The sequence below is a fragment of the Homo sapiens genome, chromosome 21, assembly GCF_000001405.40.
Source record: "Homo sapiens chromosome 21, GRCh38.p14 Primary Assembly".
In the NCBI taxonomy this organism is placed as follows: Eukaryota; Metazoa; Chordata; class Mammalia; order Primates; family Hominidae; genus Homo; species Homo sapiens.
This window is the reverse complement of record NC_000021.9, coordinates 40,302,277-40,321,619: the sequence shown is the minus strand read 5'-3', so window position 1 is coordinate 40,321,619 and position 19,343 is coordinate 40,302,277. Positions and strand designations below refer to the sequence as shown.

At 39.2% G+C, this 19,343-nt stretch overlaps 1 protein-coding gene across 4 annotated transcripts in view; it reads left to right on the top strand.

Annotated features, from left to right (window-relative positions):
* Positions 1-19,343, top strand: part of DSCAM (DS cell adhesion molecule) — an 836,160-nt gene that overhangs the window by 525,539 nt on the left and 291,278 nt on the right. For all 4 annotated transcript variants that reach the window (NR_073202.3, NM_001271534.3, NM_001389.5 and 1 more), the window contains one exon: positions 9,261-9,539. Coding sequence is in view for 3 of the 4 variants with exons in the window: in NM_001271534.3 (NP_001258463.1) it covers positions 9,261-9,539 (279 nt within the window). In the remaining variant the exon portion in view is untranslated. The remainder of the gene's footprint in view (positions 1-9,260; positions 9,540-19,343) is intronic.

The window sequence follows — 19,343 nt, the reverse complement described above, 5'->3', positions numbered from 1 at the left end:
AAAGAATGACCAGTTAGGACACAATTGAAAGAGTTGTAATTAAAAAGGTGATAGTACTGTGTTTGGAAAAAGAGAAACCACACAAAAGACATGTTGAGAATTGGAGTAGACAATACATAGCAGCACACTCTCAGCAGCTGGACACAAAAAGAAATGCACAACTAGGAACGCTTTTATTATTCGAAGCTTCTTGCAACCAAAATATTTTGCTATCACTACTAAGAACAGAGAATTGAAGAAGCTTAGATTAAGGGGAAACTTGCTATGTTTGGTTTGGGATTTGAGATACTTCTGAGACATCAAGATGAAGATATTGACATACTACTGAACAAGCAGGCATGAATCTTGAGAAGGAGTTTTTGTTTGAAAATTTAGATTAGGAGTCAACAGCATTGAGCTGACAGCTGGGGCAAAGGAGGTGCTGAGACCATCAGGGAGAGAGAAGGAAGAACAAGGCCAGGTCAGGACACTGAGGAACAATGGTTCCATTAGCGTATGATTAGTAAGAGACATTCCTTTCCATCTGAATTGTTGAACTATTTATTCATGGTTTTCAATCTCATAATTCAATTTTGTAATGTGTAGTATGATTCTTCAAATGAATGTGATATCCACCCTCATTAACTTTTGCCATGGGATCTATGAACTCTCATAAACTCTTGTAGGGTACTTATCTATCTTTTAGACATTTAAAGTAAATACACATAAATGAACAGAGATGGTGACTGATAGGGTTTGGCTGTGTCTCCACCCAAATCTCATCTTGAATTTTACTCCCATAATTCCCACGTGTTGTGGGAGGGATCTGGTGGGAGATAATTGAATCATGGGGGCAGTTTCCTCATACTGTTCTCGTGGTAGTGAATAAGTCTTATGAGATCTGATGGTTTTATCAGGGATTTCCGCTTTTGCGTCTTCCTCATTCTCTTTGCCTGATGCCATCCATGTAAGGTGGGACTTGCTTCTCCTTGCTTTCTGCCATGATTGTGAGGCTCCCCCAGCCACGTGGACCTGTAAGTCCAATTAAACTCTTTCTTTTGTAAATTGCCCAGTCTTGGATATGTCTTTATCCACAGCATGAAAATGGACTAACACAGTGACAAAATTTATTATTTTAAAGAATATATTACTGGCCCATTTAATTAACTTAGAAATAATTTCAAATCATATTTACTATAAAAAAATTGTGTGATACAATTCTAATAATGGAACAAAGCTAACACTGCAATGGCCATATTAGAATCTTTATTGTGTAAAATAAAGAATAATTCTATATAGGAAAAACAATATGCATTATGAAATAATACCAGGAAATAAAATAATTCAATCCACTGTTTAAAATTACAATATAATATGAGGAAAGATTTTTATCACATCAGTAACTATAGCGGACATAATGTTCTTCTATTTTATTTCATTTAATTTTAAGTTCCAAGGTACATGTGCAGGATGTACAAGTTTGTCACATAGGTAAATGTGTGCCATGGTGGTATGCTGCACCTCTCAACCCATCACCTAGGTATTAAGCCCAGCATGCATTAGCTATTTTTCCTGATGCTTTCCCTCCCCTTACCCATGCTTTCACATGCTTTCTTCCTCTCCCTGTGTCCATGAGTTCTCATTGTTCAACTCCCGCTTATAAGTGAGAACATGCAGTGTTTGGTTTTCTGTTCCTGCATTAGTTTGTGGAAGATAATGGCTTCCAGCTCCATCCATGTCCCTGCAAAGGACATGATCTCATTCCTTTCTATGGCTGCAAAGTATTCCATGGGGTATTTTTACCACCTTTAATCTCTTGGTGCCCACTCTGAGTGAGAATTGTGAAATTTGGCCTGCATGATTTAGTTGTTAGTATGGCTGTGGTCAAAAAGTCAAAAGATAACAAGTGTTGGCAAGGCTGTGTGGAGAAAATGGAACCCCGTACAGTGTTGGTGGGGATGTAAATTAGTGTAGACATGATAGGAAACAATAGGAAGTTTCCTAAAAAAATTTATATAATCCAGTAATTCCACTACTGGGTGTATATCCAGAGGAAATGAAATCACTCTGTGAAGGGGGTACCTGTGATCCCACGTTCATGGCAGCACTATCCACGACAGCCAAGACATGGAAACAACTTAAGTGTCCATTGGTAGATGAATGGATAAAGAGAATGTCACACACACATACACACACACACACATGCACACACGAACATTATTTAGCCTTTCTTGTTTGTTTTCTCCAAGTCACAGCAGGTTCAGTGCCTTGACACTTTCTGAAACTAAGGAAGACATGGATGATTGGGTCCAGCTATTTTTTTCTGTCCATGGGGAACATGTTTTCTTAGAATGGAGAATGTGGCCAGAGAAAACTTTGGTCTGCTGTTTTTACTTATAACTCCTCCCCTAAAGGAGGTATACTTCTCATTTGAGTACACCTTAAATAATTCAAAAGATGTAAATTTATCAAAATATACTCAAAACTCCTACTTCATTCATCCACAGAAATTCAAATGTGGTATTTCAAATCTATGTCTAGAGAAAAACAGATACTTGAAACATTTTTTAAAGTTTTGTATGATTTGGGCTATTACAAATATGCCCAAGACACAGTTCTTTAAGGAAACCTTAAAGATAGATCCTAAAAGTCATCTCCACCACACTGCAAGGACAATGCCTTGTCCTTCCCTGTCCTTCCCACCCAGAAGGCAGGGCCAAAGAATTCCCCACTGGCTCACTCTTGCCTTTTTCGCCTAGGTCAATGTCAGTTAATATCAGCTCATATTGAACCCCGCGGGGAGCTTGGAGTGAGAGGCTAAGAAGGGAAACTAATGGAATCTAAGTTGATGTGACCCACGCAGCCTCTGGTTTCTTTTAGCACCCACCGGCTCCAGCAATATCCTTATCACTCCCTCATCATATGTCTCTGCATCTTGGCCTCCTGCCCTTCCTGCTAAAGCAGGTGCAGGTCACGGGACCAGCAGCCTAAGTCACGGTAAGCTAGGTGCATCTCTGGCTGCTGCTGGTTGGAAGTCACCGATCTCAGGGAAACAAACTCACATAGCAATTCAGAGTTGGCGCGAGGACCGTACCTAAATAAACAAGGCCAGATATTGACTCAAGCTCCCCAACTGGCCCTGCCAGCAGAGGGGAGAGTTGGCACAGTAGTTAGAAGTCCTCGGCCCCTAGGCTAATAAGACTATGAAGAGGAGCTTCACTCTTGTCCCTGCCATGTCGTCATTATTAAGTCCTGGAAGTGTCTGCCTGCTCCTCTTTTCTAAGTCATTCTTTTTTTTTTTTTTAATTATACTTTAAGTTTTAGGGTACATGTGCACAATGTACACGTTAGTTACACATGTATACATGTGCCATGCTGGTGTGCTGCACCCATTAACTTGTCATTTAGCATTAGGTATATCTCCTAATGCTATCCGTCCCCCCTCCCCCCACCCCACAACAGTACCCAGAATGTGATGTTCCCCTTGCTGTGTCCATGTGTTCTCATTGTTCAATTCCCATCTATGAGTGAGAACATGCGGTGTTTGGTTTTTTGTCCTTGCGACAATGATAGACTGGATTAAGAAAATGTGGCACATATACACCATGGAATACTATACAGCCATAAAAAATGATGAGTTCATGTCCTTTGTAGGGACATGGATGAAATTGGAAATCATCATTCTCAGTAAACTAAGTCATTCTTAATGACTTCAGGATTGTCTAAAGTGCAGAGTGTAAACATATGTTCATCATCACCTCTGAAAGTTTTTTTCTAAAAAACATTATTCAATCAAAATGAACAAGACATCCAGGCTCGGTGGCTCACGCCTATAATCCCAGCACTTTGGGAGGCCAAGGCAGGTGGATCACATGAGGTCAGGAGTTCGAGACCAGCCTGGCCAACATGGTGAAACCCCGTCTCTACTAAAAATACAAAAAAAATTAGCCAAGCCTAGTGGCGTGTGCCTGTAATCCCAGCTACTTGGGAGGCTGAGGCAGGAGAATCACTTGAGCCCGGGAGGTGGAGGTTGCAGTGAGGCGAGATCATGCCACTGAACTCCAGCCTAGGCAACAAGAGTGAAAACTCCGTTTAAAAAAGAAAAAGAAAGAAAAGAAAAAAAAAGAACAGGACACTATTTATCCCACTAGTTGTGGGAAATAAAAAAGATAAACTTGATAGATCTCCTGCCCTCCTGGGTCACTCTACTTAAGAAAATGGGCACGTCCATAAATCACTGTACTCACTTGAGTCATCAATGTGATAAATTCCATACAAGAGTTTTGAACAAGAGTGAGTAGAGGAACCGCTTACTTGTGTTGTATGTACATTGTGGAGAACTGTATCAGACTGGGTCAGTAATCTAAAATTTAGCTAAACGATGTTGTTAAGTAGCAGAATTGACCAGATAACCAGACTTATGGGTGAGGAGATCTTGAAGGTATACCCCGGACTAGAAACTCCCACCTGCTCACAGCCTCATCATTTCGGAGTCACGCCTTGCACTGAACTGGACAGTAAATAGCCCTGTGGCTGCGCAGAAGAGCTACTTGCTGTCTATTTCAATGCAAGCTGATAATGAACTGTGTTTCATTATCACCTCGTTACACATGAAGAGATAGAATCGCAGAGCTAAATAAACTGGATCAAGATAACACTGCTAATCACCCAGAATTGACGAGCACCCCACCCATGATTTTATCAAAGTCTTATACGCCTCTTCTCTAGGAGAAATCAAAGCATTTCCCTCCATGAAGAAGAATATACAATTAATTTTTAAGAGACAAGACAGAAATATATCAGTCTGATCTAATATTCTTGTTAAGGGTTTAGATAGAGTAAGAGTCAAAATTGACATTTGGCAGTATTCAATGGCTCTGAGCTGCCTAGGAAAAGGACCCCCGCCATTATGTAGAGTGAAATACACAAGCCTGGTAATAAATGACCTTTATCAGATATTTACGTACTTCTTGTAGAAAGGGTATGTCAAAAGCGGTGTGTGTCATATTCAGGATTTCTGCTCCTATGATATACAAGCTTTTACTGTCAGCAAGATTCAGATAATTTACCTTATTTAGGTGATATCATGAATCAGGTAATCAGTGTGTCTCAAATAGGAGGTTCAGCTTTCCCAAAATCATGAGAAGAGTTTTCTAATCACTGGAGTTACTTTGTGCCATCGATCTTATGTCTTATGAATATAAAATATAAGGCTTAAGACGCTTTAAAAATTTTATGCATTTGTATGCAGCAGACTTGCAACTCACAGCTGATGCAAGCAAGGCAACTTAAGCAGTGAAGAAAGAATTGACATGATTGACAAATAGGTCTTGTGATTTAATTTACATTAACAATGATGTAATGTGCATACTGACCTAATGTGTCCTTACATAATGTGGCAAGCAAAGCAACACATAGCAAACCTAATTTTGACATTCTTCTGGGAAAACGCTTTTCCTTATGACTAAACTTTTCTTTAATATTTATTTTAACCATTTTGGAAAGGCTTTTTTTTGGTAGATATGTTTTAAAATATTTTAAATGTATCTTTTTATTTAATATGTTAACCGTGACTTATAATTCAGAATGCTAATTAAGTATTACGATTTTGTATTAATTACAAAAATGCTGACTACTAAGGGCAATGTGCTCCCAAACAAAATGTCATCCAACTACTGTGTGTGTTGCGTTTTTGTGTCTGTTCTTTATAATTTACTTTTAGTTTCTCACCCTCCTCCTTTTGCTTGCCAATTGTGGCTTCTTACTAAGCCCTCTTCAATATGCCTGAACTCCCAGAATCTGATTTAGGCCAAGATATCAGATAACTGACAGTGTTGTAATGATTTAAAATAAGATGTTCAAAGCAAGGGATTATCCTTGGAGTGATGTGTATGAGATTTAGTGCATTAGCTTTCTGACACTGGTTTTTCAGTGCTTTGGAAGTGTACTTCTTGATTTTCAGCCCTGTTGCTTTGTACTAAAGTAATGATAAAAATATTCCTTAAATACCATACACTGATGAATTGCAAATATTTTGGAATTATAGAAAACACAGGGTTTTGGTTTTCGTTTTGGTTTTAATGCTGATTCTTCTATAGCTACCTCTTACTTCTGTTCTTGAAAATTTGTATGTGCATATATTTCCTGTATTCTATAACTCTCTTATGCTCTAAAGGGACATTCTAATACTTTACAATTATTTACAACCTACACTCTATGTTTTCCTTTTTTTTTTTTGAGACGGAGTTTCGCTCTGTCTCCCATGCTGGAGTGCAGTGACATGACCTTGGCTCACTGCAACCTCAGCCTCCCGGGTTCAAGCAATTCTCCTGCCTCAGCCTCCCTAGTAGCTGGGACTATAGGTGCACGCCACCATGCCTGGCTAATTTTTTTTTTTTATTTTTAGTAGAAACAAGGTTTTTCCATGTTGGCCAGGCTGCTCACGAACTCCTGACCTCTGGTGATTTGCCCACCTGGGCCTCCCAAAGTGTTGGGATTACAGGCGTGAGCCACCACACCCGGCCTTCTTATTAAATAGCTAGATTAAAAAATATGCTATGTCTTACCTTTCTTTCTTGATTTGGAGAAAGTAAATCCTCACGTATTCCTTCTCCCTGTTGTAACTGATAGAGAAAATTAGCCCAGTAACCTTTCAACTTACCTGTTTTTTCCTCATCTTAAAGGCTTGTGAAATAGAACAAATGCTAAGAAACTGATTCAGATACACAACTAAGTTTGAGAATTACTGTGTTAACTCATTCAGAGCTCAAGGCAGCACTCTATTTTATAAATAAGGAAACTGAGACCCTGAGAGGGGTTAAGTAACTGTAGTAAGTAGCATAGCTGAACTTAAACCAAAGTAGCCTGGCTCCAAAGTTCTTATCTTAGAAAAATTGTCTGTAATTCAGACAGTAAGCACCAAGCCAAGGTTTGTCTGAGTATGCTGACAACCAGGTTTTTGTGTCCAGGAAATCAAAGGGGAGGAAATGTAATTATTTTCTTTAATAAAGCATAGCAATTTAGTATTAATAATATTTACATATATAGTGAGCATTTATGCCACTTGGGGGCAAGAGATTTAAAGAAATACAAGCACCTTTGGTACAACATGACATTTTCTCCAGCACATTCCAACTGAGAACGTTCATACCTCAGTCTGACCCGATTCTCTCCACCAGCACTGGATAGAATCTCATCCTGAGACCTTTATCTCTTAGCATCAGATCAGCCCTTTTCAATCCCAAAGATCTAACTTTACATGGAGAATCCACAGGAGGATTGACATTGAGTATGCTTGTCGGTACCTTTGACCATTTAAAAAAATTAATTTCCCTGGTAAAACCTAACTTGAGCTACCTACTTCTTCGACCTCTGGCTGTACTTGCAATTTTGAGTTCTAGCTCCCAACTGCTTTTGAAAGCAGACAGCCGTCATAGTGATAATACGAAATAAGAGAAGCGCCATGGCTGCACTTCCTTGCTGTCTGCGGCCTATGGCTATATATGGAAGCTCCACTGGCAGAGGCTGATGGGTTATGCTCATTGCTGTGTGCCCAGCACGTTCACTGCTGCCACACACATCCCAGGTGCTCAATAAACATGACTTGATTGAATGAACAAATAAATGAATGAATGGTTTTCTATTCAAATTTCTCAGCCGGATCCCTTACCTCTTCCTTAAGCTGATAGTTGAAATGGACTTACAATTGTTGAATAAACTGTAGAAATCTTTAATAACTTCATTAGGAAAAACTCGTAATATAATAATTGGTTTATATTAGATTATCACATGATTAATCATCTTAGTTTGTACTCTTAGTCATTTCCAAGCCCCTGCATACAAATAAACCTTTTTCTTTCCAAGAATGTATGCAAAAACACAAAAAAGGCTTACATTACAGGCTCTGATATTAGTTATATTGACATGATTTAAGCCCTCCGAGAATAGTTAACTAGTTCTAAGACCAAAAGGGCAAGGTAACATCTTTGAGTATCACTTTTCCCATCTGCAAAGTAAAGCAATAAATAACTAATCCGTAAGGCTGATGAAAGAGCATATTACTTTGCTCATAACTAACAAGTAACAGTTAGAGTTCAAATGTGGTTCATCTGACTCCATTTTAACTATTTCAGAATGTTAATACCCTATGACATCATCTAGGAGGGCACTGAGGAAGAGAGTTCCTAAGGCAAGGTGGACAAAACAGGCATCACTCAGCAAAGCTGAATCAGGAAAGAGCTTTCCAGGCTGAGTTTGCTTGCAGTGTCCATGGCAGGCCAGGCTGAAGGCTATAACCCGACCTCCTTAGCAATACATCAGCAAGTCAAATAACCTGCCACGGACCAGTTCACAATTAAAAGTTACACACGTAAAGTGTGCAAAACTAAGAGATGCAAAGTAAAGATGTAGTTATTCTAATATGAAATAAGAATTTATAATTAATGGTTGTTATTAGTTGGACATAACAGAGAACTTTAACAATAAAATTGGAATATTTATTTTACTTTTTTTTTTTTTTTTAGTTTTTTAGACACAGGCTGGAGTCACCCAGGCTGGAGTGCACTGGTGCCCTCGTAGCTTACTGCAGCCTCGAACTCCTGGGCTCAAGGGATCCTCCCGCCTTGGCCTCCTCAGTAGCTGGGACCAGAGGTGCACACCATCGCACCTGGCTAATTTTTTAAAAAAATGTTGTAGATATGGGGGTCCCGTTATGTTGCCCAGGCTAGTCTTGAACTCCTGGCCTCAAGTGTTCCTCCTGCCTTGGCCTCCCAAAGTGCTGGGATTACAGGTGTGAGCCACCACATCCAGCCAAAATTGGAATTTCTGCTTCTTCAGTGGGTTTAGAATATGCCTATTTACAAGGCAGGAAACAATTAGAAGGGGAACAGTAATTGTAGTGTCATAGTCGCAAAGTAGGAAAGAAACCTCCTCTTGTATACATCATTTTAAAAGGCTTTGAAGGAAAACCAAACCTAAATCCCTCTTTCACACTATTTACACTACAGATATAGTCTGAAATGTTTTCATTCAAAAATAATTTTTAAATTAAAGTTTGTTGAACAAAATTAACTTGCTGAAGTACAAATTGAACCATGGTTTTTATTTAAAATGATGAGAACATTCAAATAATAGAAGCAGAATTTCAAATTTGCTACAGTTCCTGTATTTCTATGCTGTATCTATGATCGTCTGTACTACCCTTTCAGTGCCGTATACAGGGTTAAAGGAAAAGCAAATGTAGAATAAGCACAGTTCGTTATTATCTTTCTTTTTTCTTGCAGTTCCGCCTTTCATACAACCCTTTGAGTTTCCAAGATTCTCCATTGGGCAGCGGGTCTTCATCCCCTGTGTTGTGGTCTCAGGGGACTTACCCATCACGATCACCTGGCAGAAGGATGGCCGGCCAATCCCTGGGAGCCTTGGGGTGACCATTGACAATATTGACTTCACGAGCTCCTTGAGGATTTCCAATCTCTCGCTCATGCACAATGGGAATTACACCTGCATAGCCCGGAATGAGGCCGCCGCTGTGGAGCACCAAAGCCAGTTGATTGTCAGAGGTGAGCAAAGGATCATGAGCCATGTGGCATCTGTAGAGTTGATTTAACAATGGTTTAAGATGATGGGGCTTGAAATATTTCGAAAATAACTGGAACTTAGAAATTCAGTTTTATCTCACTAAAAAAAAAAAAAAAAAAAAAAAAAAATACGACTCTAAACCCAACCATGAATTCCCCTAAACTCCAAGATAAGGTTTTATTTACCTAAAATATGTTTTAAATAATTAATAGCTAAGAAGGTGGGAACCATAGGATTTAATTCATGAAATAAGGCTTCCGTATGCTAAGCCAATGAGTTTTGAGGACTAACGTCCGTGAGCTTTTGCTTTATTGTATTCATATAATATTTTTAGTATTTCTTATTTCAATAAATGGTTTTTTAAAAAATATGTCTCAAAGCTATGTATCAAAGTTTTTCTAAAGAGCCATGAAATAGCTTTTCATAATGTTTGTTTTAGTTTTAGAAATGTGGTTTTCTTTGCCCATCTATTCTATTTAGCATTAAATCTATCATTATTTTGGGACGCCATTGCAACGTTTTAAAATTAAGCAGAGTATGGTAGTACTTATTCAAAAAAATTAAAATAGGGTAGGCTAACTTGTAGAAAACTGGCAGTAATCTCATTACATCTAAACTGTAAGCTTCAGTCTTATTTTGAACTTCTATTCAAGTCACCAAATTCCCATTAAGGCTCACACTCTTCATCTATGAAATAAGCTGCTAGTGTTCTCTAATGTATATCAAACACAGACATTCTGTGATGTTTATGATTCTCCAAGAGTACTATACATTAATCTACCATTACAATATTCATCCACATTGCAAAAGTAACTGTCTGAAGTTAAAGATTTATATTAACAATGATTATTTGCATTTTAAAATTCCCCAGATTGTGGTCCCAGAGTGGTTGTTAGGAGGGGGAGGATTTCTGTAATTTCCCAGAGAGTGGAGATAGCTCTTTCTTGAGCAGGAGATTCTCATGTCCTTCTTCATTCCTTACTCCTTGTCCCCTTGATACCTCTTCTTCCTTGCCAGCTGGGAAGAAATGCACTTTTTATCTACCTGCCAGCAAAAGGAAGTGACACAGACTTAGAAGTCATAGGAAGAAACTAACTTTGTATTTCTGAAAAAAAAAATTTCCAGGTGAATAATTTAGAAAATATATATTCAATTAGACACAAACTTAGCAGCCTCATGACATTTTTCTCATTTCCACCTTGCACTTTGGAGTGGAAGAATTGGGATACTTGATTTTTTCCCAAATTTTGAAAGATAAATAAAAAAGGGAGCCAACCTAGTATCTGTTTCCCAAGCGTTTTCTTATAAGCAGAGTTAACTCTTGGGTTTGTGAAGGGCAAAATAGTACATCAGCCTGCTTTCTATATAATCTGCTCTGAAGGATCCAGGCCAGGAATCTGAAACGTCAGATAAAAATGTACGGGGATGCTTTTTGTACAACTTGCCCTTGCAGAAAAGGCAACCAGAAGTTTTTAACCAAGGCAAAATCAGATGAGCTGAAAATGAGCCTAGCTATTTGGGATAATGTAGCTGATCATGATATGACTGATGTCTCCATGTGATTGTTCTTCAAATATGTTAAATAAGCTTTAGTTAAATTAATATTAAATCACCAGTGAGATAATGCAGCCTAGAGGAAGAAAATGTGCTTCACAAACAGGTCAGTGTGACTGGAGAAACAGGCAGGGACAAGGTGATGTGGGACTGTGGTTCTCAATCCAGACAGTTCTGTAGAATCTCCTGGGAGGCTTAAGAAAACACTGATGTGCATTTTTTGGTCCCAATCTACACCAATTAAATCATAATCTTTAGGGGTAAATCCATCTTCCAGATCTCTGGGGAATTGTTCTTTTTTCCCAAAAATCACTAGTTAGTGGTTCTCAAACTTTGTTGTACATTCAGATTGCATAGGGAGGTCTAAAAAGGTCCTGATGACCAGGATGAAGCTCCTGTCAATTAAATAACCATCTTTGGAGGTGGGACCCAGGCATCAATAATTTGTAAAATCCACAGGTTTATTCTAATATGTAGCCAAGTCTCAGTTCCAGCCCCCTGAGTAATTAGAACGTGCAGCCATTTTGAGGTGTGGATTTTCTTCTAGATTAAAGAGTTGGCACTGTTGACTTTAACCACCACAGCACTATGGCCTGATTGATCTTTTTAGTTGTCACACTAGTAGCTGTCTGAAGAATGGACTGGGCTAGAAAGCAAGAAGAGTAGTTAACAGGCTATTTCAGACATTCAGACAAGATAAAAATGCCTTGGATGAAGGTGTTAATGTTAAGGTCATGAGAAGCAGTGGAATTCACAATCTATTTTGGCGGTAAAGCAAATAAAACACGCTTATGGAGTGAATGTTGCAAATGAGATAAAGAAGAACCTTTAGTGGAATCATGCTTTGCCTAATAACAAGGTGAATGAAAGTGTCTTTAGCAGAAGCAGAGAAGAAATGAGGAAGAACGGTATTGACAAGGGGAATAATGGTCAATGATATGGGAGAAGCACCTGTCCCAGCAGTCACTAGGGCACTCCAGCATTTAAGGCCCCAGAATAAGAGAAGGAGGAATCAGCAGAAGAGACGAAGAGGGAAAAGGAGCAGCCTGTAAAGGAGGAGAAAATCCAGTGGACTGTGGCACTCTAGAAGCAAAATCAGAAATAAATCGAGAAAGAGAATATTAAACAGTATTGAATCCTGCTGAAAGTAGACAAAGAGGAAAACCAAGAGTTGGTCACTGGTTTAGGAAGATGGATATTGTTTATGACCTTGATGGATATTGTTTATGACCTGGTGTCATTGCAGCGAGGGCTTGATTAGAGGAGCTTCAGAAAAGAAAGAAGGTCAATGTGCAGGAACTCAGAAAACACAACTATTTTTATATTTTTAGGAATTTTGCTATCACAGGAGGCAGTAAAATGGAGACAAAGTTGGAAATGGACATGGGGCAAGGGCAGGAGTTATTTTTAAGACTGGATACTTTACAGCCTGCTTTATGCTTATGAGAATAAGCCAGTAGAGAGGAAAAAAATATGTGTCAAGATAAAGAGGAGATTATTACAGGATCAAAGTCCTTGAGTTAGTGAATGCAACCAGAATTCTTTGTACCAGTGCAGTAGTACGTTCAAAGTAGTATAATAACAACCATGGTGTGAAGCTCCAGTAGGTAGCACCAACAGAAATGATTGAAAATTATAGGGAAGGGGGATGTTTTGGGTCAAAGAAGTGGAAAAACAAAAATTATCTAATAGGACCATCACAGAGTAACAGGTAACACATTTATCCTCCTACTACAAACCAACTATAAAATTGGTCTAATATATATAAGAACTGCTTTCAGGAACAAAACAAAGTGCATGAAGTCAGTTCCAAATTCACCCCAGATAGCTGCTTGGGGTACTTTCTGCACATGACAGAGAGTGCAGAGCCCAAATAGATCACAGTGATCTTGGCAGGTGGAGAAAACAGAGAGAGAAATTGAAAGATACTAAGATGATTACTGGGTATTGAAGGACAAGCTACTGGAGATTAGGGAGCTATTCAAAGAAAGGTCTCTAGAAATCTGTACAGGGCTCCTTTGCAGTTTCAGCTGAATACTGTTCTTCACATGCACAGGGTGCTAGCAGAAGTTGCACATTGCTTGGGAATGCTGGAGTTCTAACTAGCCAGAATAGGGGAATTCAGCCGCAATCTCAGGAATGCCACACCCTAGGAGTAGGACTAATCTATCCCCAGCATAAGGGTTACTCTAGACCAGCCCTAAAAGAGCCTAAGAAGATTCTTGGCAAGATAAAACTTCTCCACTAGTAAGTTAATTGTGTGCATAAACAATATTTGACACTAAAAAGGAAGACAACAAAATCCAGACCCCCAACAGCATAGCGTATCCACAATGTACTGCATTCAATAAACACAGGCACACCTGATTTTATCACACTTTTCTTTTTTGTTGTTGTTGTTGTGTTTTTTTATTTTATTTTATTATTATTCTTTAAGTTTTAGGGTATATGTGCACAATGTGCAGGTTAGTTACATATGTATACATGTGCCATGCTGGTGTGCTGCACCCATCAACTCGTCATCTAGCATTAGGTATATCTCCTAATGCTATCCCTCCCCCCTCCCCTCATCCCACAACAGTCCCCAGAGTGTGATGTTCCCCTTCCTGTGTCCATGTGTTCTCATTGTTCAATTCCCACCCATGAGTAAGAATATGCAGTGTTTGGTTTTTTGTTCTTGTGATAGTTTACTGGGAATGATGATTTCCAATTTCATCCATGTCCCTACAAAGGACATGAACTCATCATTTTTTATGGCTGCATAGTATTCCATGATGTATATGTGCCACATTTTCTTAATCCAGTCTATCACTGTTGGACATTTGGGTTGGTCCCAAGTCTTTGCTATTGTGAATAGTGCCTCAATAAACATACGTGTGCATGTGTCTTTATAGCAGCATGATTTATAGTCCTTTGGGTATATACCCAGTAATGGGATGGCTGGGTCAAATGGTATTTCTAGTTCTAGATCCCTGAGGAATCGCCACACTGACTTTCACAATGGTAGAACTAGTTTACAGTCCCACCAACAGTGTAAAAGTGTTCCTATTTCTCCACATCCTCTCCAGCACCTGTTGTTTCCTGACTTTTTAACGATTGCCATTCTAACTGGTGTGAGATGGTATCTCACTGTGGTTTTGATTTGCATTTCTCTGATGGCCAGTGACGGTGAGCATTTTTTCATGTGTTTTTTGGCTGCATAAATGTCTTCTTTTGAGAAGTGTCTGTTCATGTCCTTTGCCTACTTTTTGATGGGGTTGTTTTTTTTTTCTTGTAAATTTGTTTGAGTTCATTGTAGATTCTGGATATTAGCCCTTTGTCAGATGAGTAGGTTGCGAAAATTTTCTCCCATTTTGTAGGTTGCCTGTTCACTCTGATAGTAGTTTCTTTTGCTGTGCAGAAGCTCTTTAGTTTAATTAGATCCAAAAAGAATCCAGGACCAGATGGATTCACAGCCAAATTCTACCAGAGGTACAAGGAGGAACTGGTACCATTCCTTCTGAAATTATTCCAATCAATAGAAAAAGAGGGAATCCTCCCTAACTCATTTTATGAGGCCAGCGTCATCCTGATACCAAAGCTGGGCAGAGACACAACCAAAAAAGAGAATTTTAGACCAATATCCTTGATGAACATTGATGCAAAAATCCTCAATAAAATACTGGCAAACCGAATCCAGCAGCACATCAAAAAGCTTATCCACCATGATCAAGTGGGCTTCATCCCTGGGATGCAAGGCTTGTTCAATATACGCAAATTAATAAATATAATCTAGCATATAACAGAACCAAAGACAAAAAACACATGATTATCTCAATAGATGCAGAAAAGGCCTTTGACAAAATTCAACAACCCTTCATGCTAAAAACTCTCAATAAATTAGGTATTGATGGGACGTATCTCAAAATAATAAGAGCTATCTATGACAAACCCACAGCCAATATCATACTGAATGGGCAAAAACTGGAAGCATTCCCTTTGAAAACTGGCACAAGACAGGGATGCCCTCTCTCACCACTCCTATTCAACATAGTGTTGGAAGTTCTGGCCAGGGCAATTAGGCAGGAGAAGGAAATAAAGGGTATTCAATTAGGAAAAGAGGAAGTCCAATTGTCCCTGTTTGCAGATGACATGATTGTATATCTAGAAAACCCCATCGTCTCAGCCCAAAATCTTCTTAAGCTGATAAGCAACTTCAGCAAAGTCTCAGGATACAAAATCAATGTACAAAAATCACAAGCATTCTTATATACCAATAACAGACAAACAGAGAGCCAAATTATGAGTGAACTCCCATTCACAATTGCTTCAAAGAGAATAAAATACCTAGGAATCCAACTTACAAGGGATGTGAAGGACCTCTTCAAGGAGAACTACAAACCGCTGCTCAATGAAATAAAAGAGGATACAAACAAATGGAAGAACATTCCATGCTCATGGGTAGGAAGAATCAATATTGTGAAAATGGCCATACTGCCCAAGGTAATTTATAGATTCAATGCCATCCCCATCAAGCTACCAATGACTTTCTTCACAGAATTGGAAAAAACTACTTTAAAGTTCATGTGGCACAAAAAAAGAGCCCGCGTCGCCAAGTCAATCCTAAGCCAAAAGAACAAAGCTGGAGGCATCATGCTACCTGACTTCAAACTATACTACAAGGCTACAGTAACCAAAACAGCATGGCACTGGTACCAAAACAGAGATATAGACCAATGGAACAGAACAGAGCCCTCAGAAATAACGCCACATATCTACAACTGTCTGATCTTTGACAAACCTGAGAAAAACAAGCAATGGGGAAAGGATTCCCTATTTAATAAATGGTGCTGGGAAAACTGGCTAGCCATATGTAGAAAGCTGAAACTGGATCCCTTCCTTACACCTTATACAAAAAATTAATTCAAGATGGATTAAAGACTTAAACCTTAGACCTAAAACCATAAAAACCCTAGAAGAAAACCTAGGCATTACCATTTAGGACATAGGCATGGGCAAGGATTTCATGTCTAAAACACCAAAAGCAATGGAAACAAAAGCCAGAATTGACAAATGGGATCTAATTAAACTAAAGAGCTTCTGCACTTTTCTTTTCTTCCTTTTTTTTTTTTTTTTTTTGAGACGGGATCTTGCTCTGTCACCCAGGCTGCAGTACAATGGGCCAATCTCCACTCACTGCAACCTCTACCTTCCGGGTTCACACCATTCTCCTGCCTCAGCTTCCTGAGTAGCTTGGATTACAGGCATGTGCCAACATGCCAAGCTAATTTTTTTATTTTTAGTAGAGACAAGGTTTCACCACGTTGGCCAGGCTGGTCTCGAACTCCTGGCCTCAGGTGATGCACCCCACTTGGCCTCCCAAAGTGCCGAGATTACAGGAGTGAGCCACCATGCCCGGCCACACTTTGCTTTATTGTGCTTCCCAGATATCGCATTTTTTACAAGTTGAAGGTTTGTGGCAATCCTGCATCGAGCAAGTCTATGGGGACCATTTTTTCCAACAGTGTGTGCCCACTTCGTGTCTGTATGTCACATTTTGGTAATTCTTGCAACATTTGAAACTTTATCATTATTATTATGTCTGTTATGGTGATTGGTAATCAGTAATCTCTGGTGTTACTATTATAATGTTACTATTATAATTGTTCAGTAGCCATATGAGATGGCAAACTTAATCGATAAATGTTGTGTGTGTTCTGACCACTCTACTAACCAACCATTTCCCAGTCTCCATTTCTCAGCTTCCCTATTTCCTAAGACAACAATATTGACCATTTCTCAGCTTCCCTACTTCCTAAGACATAACAATATTGAAATTAGGCCAATGAATGGCCCCACAACAGTCTCCGGTGTTTCAGTGAGAGGAGGAATCATTCATTGCACATCTCTCACTTTAAATCAAAAGCTAGAAATGATTGCATTCAGTGAGGAAGGCATTTGAAAGCCAAGAGAGGCCGGAAGCTGGGCTTCCTATGCCAAACTGTTTGCCACATTGTAAACACAAAGGAAAAGTTCTTGAGGGCAATGAAAAATGCTACTCCAGTGAACACACAAATGGTAAAGTGAAACAACCTCGTTGCTAATATGGAGAACGTTTAAATAGTATGGATAGAGAAAACCAAACCAGCCACCACATTCCCTTAAGTACAAGCTTGATACAGGGCAAGGCCCTAACTCTCTTCTATGAAGGCTGAGTGACGTGAGGAAGCTGCATAAGAAAAGTTTGACCTGGGGTCATTGTAAAGCTTAGCACATTGTTTGATAGCCTGGGTTAGTGGGAAGATTTGTAAAGACTTGATCTAAAATAAATTAGCTGTTGTCTTGAAGAAAATATAAGAAAACAAAAACAACACCCCAAAAGCAAAAATCTCTTAGCTGTTATGTATGAGCCAATAAGAGCCAAATCTCATAGCTCTTATGACAGTGGACTGATGGTTTCCCTGATATCCTGCTCAGTGGAGTGACCTTGGCATTGATTAAGGTATTAGAAATAACGCATTAGGCTTCATGAAAGAGCACTCCTGCCCTTTGCTTCCTGTTGTGGTCTCTAGACCACTCACAGGAAAGCACCAACACAACAGTTCCTATCTGTGATTCCAAAGGAGGGCCGTTTTCTCACACTTTTTTATATCTTCTGATGGGTCAATGGTTTCTGGCTTTTAATGGTGAACTGCCACATAGAGAAACAAGCACATTGGCTAAAATAGTTGACTGTCAGTTGACAGGAAAAATGAAAATCATAGAAGGTTGCTATTTTATTGCCATCTGTTGATCCAATTTTTGATAGAATTCTCATGCTATGATTTTACTTCATTCATTCATTCTTACACAAAATATTTCTTAAATATTTGTTTTATAATAGGTGCTGTTATGAGTGCCGAGGATACCATGGTGATTAAAATAAAGACACCAAGTCTCTGCCCATTAAGGTTCAAAGTCTAGTGAAGGGAAGAGATAATGAACAAACAATGTCAGTTATCTACAAGGACTATGAAAAATAAACATGTTGTACGTGGATTGAGAAAGATGGGGATGAAAATAGTATTTTAGGTAGGCTGGGCAGGGGAAGGCTTTCTGGAGAGATCTTTGAGCAGAGACTTGACTGAAGTGAAGGCGTACGTCCCAGGGAATTGTAGGAAGCGAGTTCCAAGCAGAGAGACCAACAAGTCTGAAGACTGAGTGTGGAGTGAGTTTTGTGTGTTCACAGCCCAGCAAGAGGCCCAAGGTGCCTCCTATTAAGTAAGAGAGGACAGAAAGTGTAAGGCAGAGATATAAGCAGAGGCCAGGCCATCTATTCTCAGAATGATGGGAAAGCAATAGGTTTAATTGTCAGTGTCGTAAATTAAATCTTACCTAGACTTTGGCCAAGTCCCATCTCAACTAAATGTCACCAAGTAGAGAATGGTGGTATTTATCCATGCACCCCCTCCCACCTCCACCAAATGGCTTTCATTAAAACTGAATTTCTGCCCAGGTTTACAGCTAGGGAAACCTAAATTCATTCTTTGGAAATATATAGCAACTTAGAAGCCATGGCTTCCAAACATAAAACGCTGGACTACATTTAAAACTAGAAAAATGCCTGTCTTATTATAACCATAGTATTATTTCTTTAAAAATGAAACAACAGAAGTAATCCACCCCCCACCAACACACACAAAATAAGCAGATCAAGCCAAAGACCTCTGTGTTTTAAACAACCTTCATTTTAGGCAACACCAGGAGTAAACTTCCTCAAAGAAACCTATTTGAAACTTCAGATACTCTCAGCCTATGTGGATCCCATGACAAGATTTTGGTATTTTGGAATATATATCAAATTGTTCTTTTTGGGGAGACAGGAGTGCTGGTTATGTGCACGTAATTATGATTCAGAGAAGTGTTTGGCAAGTTTAGCCATATTGCATCTTGGAGATGTGATGTAATTATGTAGTTGAACCTATTCATCTCTTTAATTACTCTTCCTCCCTACCAGAAAAACCGCTCTGTATTAGTCCATTTTTATGCTGCTGATAAAGACATACCCAAGACTGGCTAATTTATAAAGAAAAAGAGGATTAATGGACTCACAGTTCCACAGGTGGCTGGGAGGTGAAAGGCATGTCTTACATGGTGGCAGGCAAGAGAGAGCTTGTGCAGGGGAAATCCCCTTTATAAAATCATCAGATCTCATGAGACTCATTCACTATCACGAGAACAGCATGGGAAAGATCCGCCCCCCGTGGTTAAAT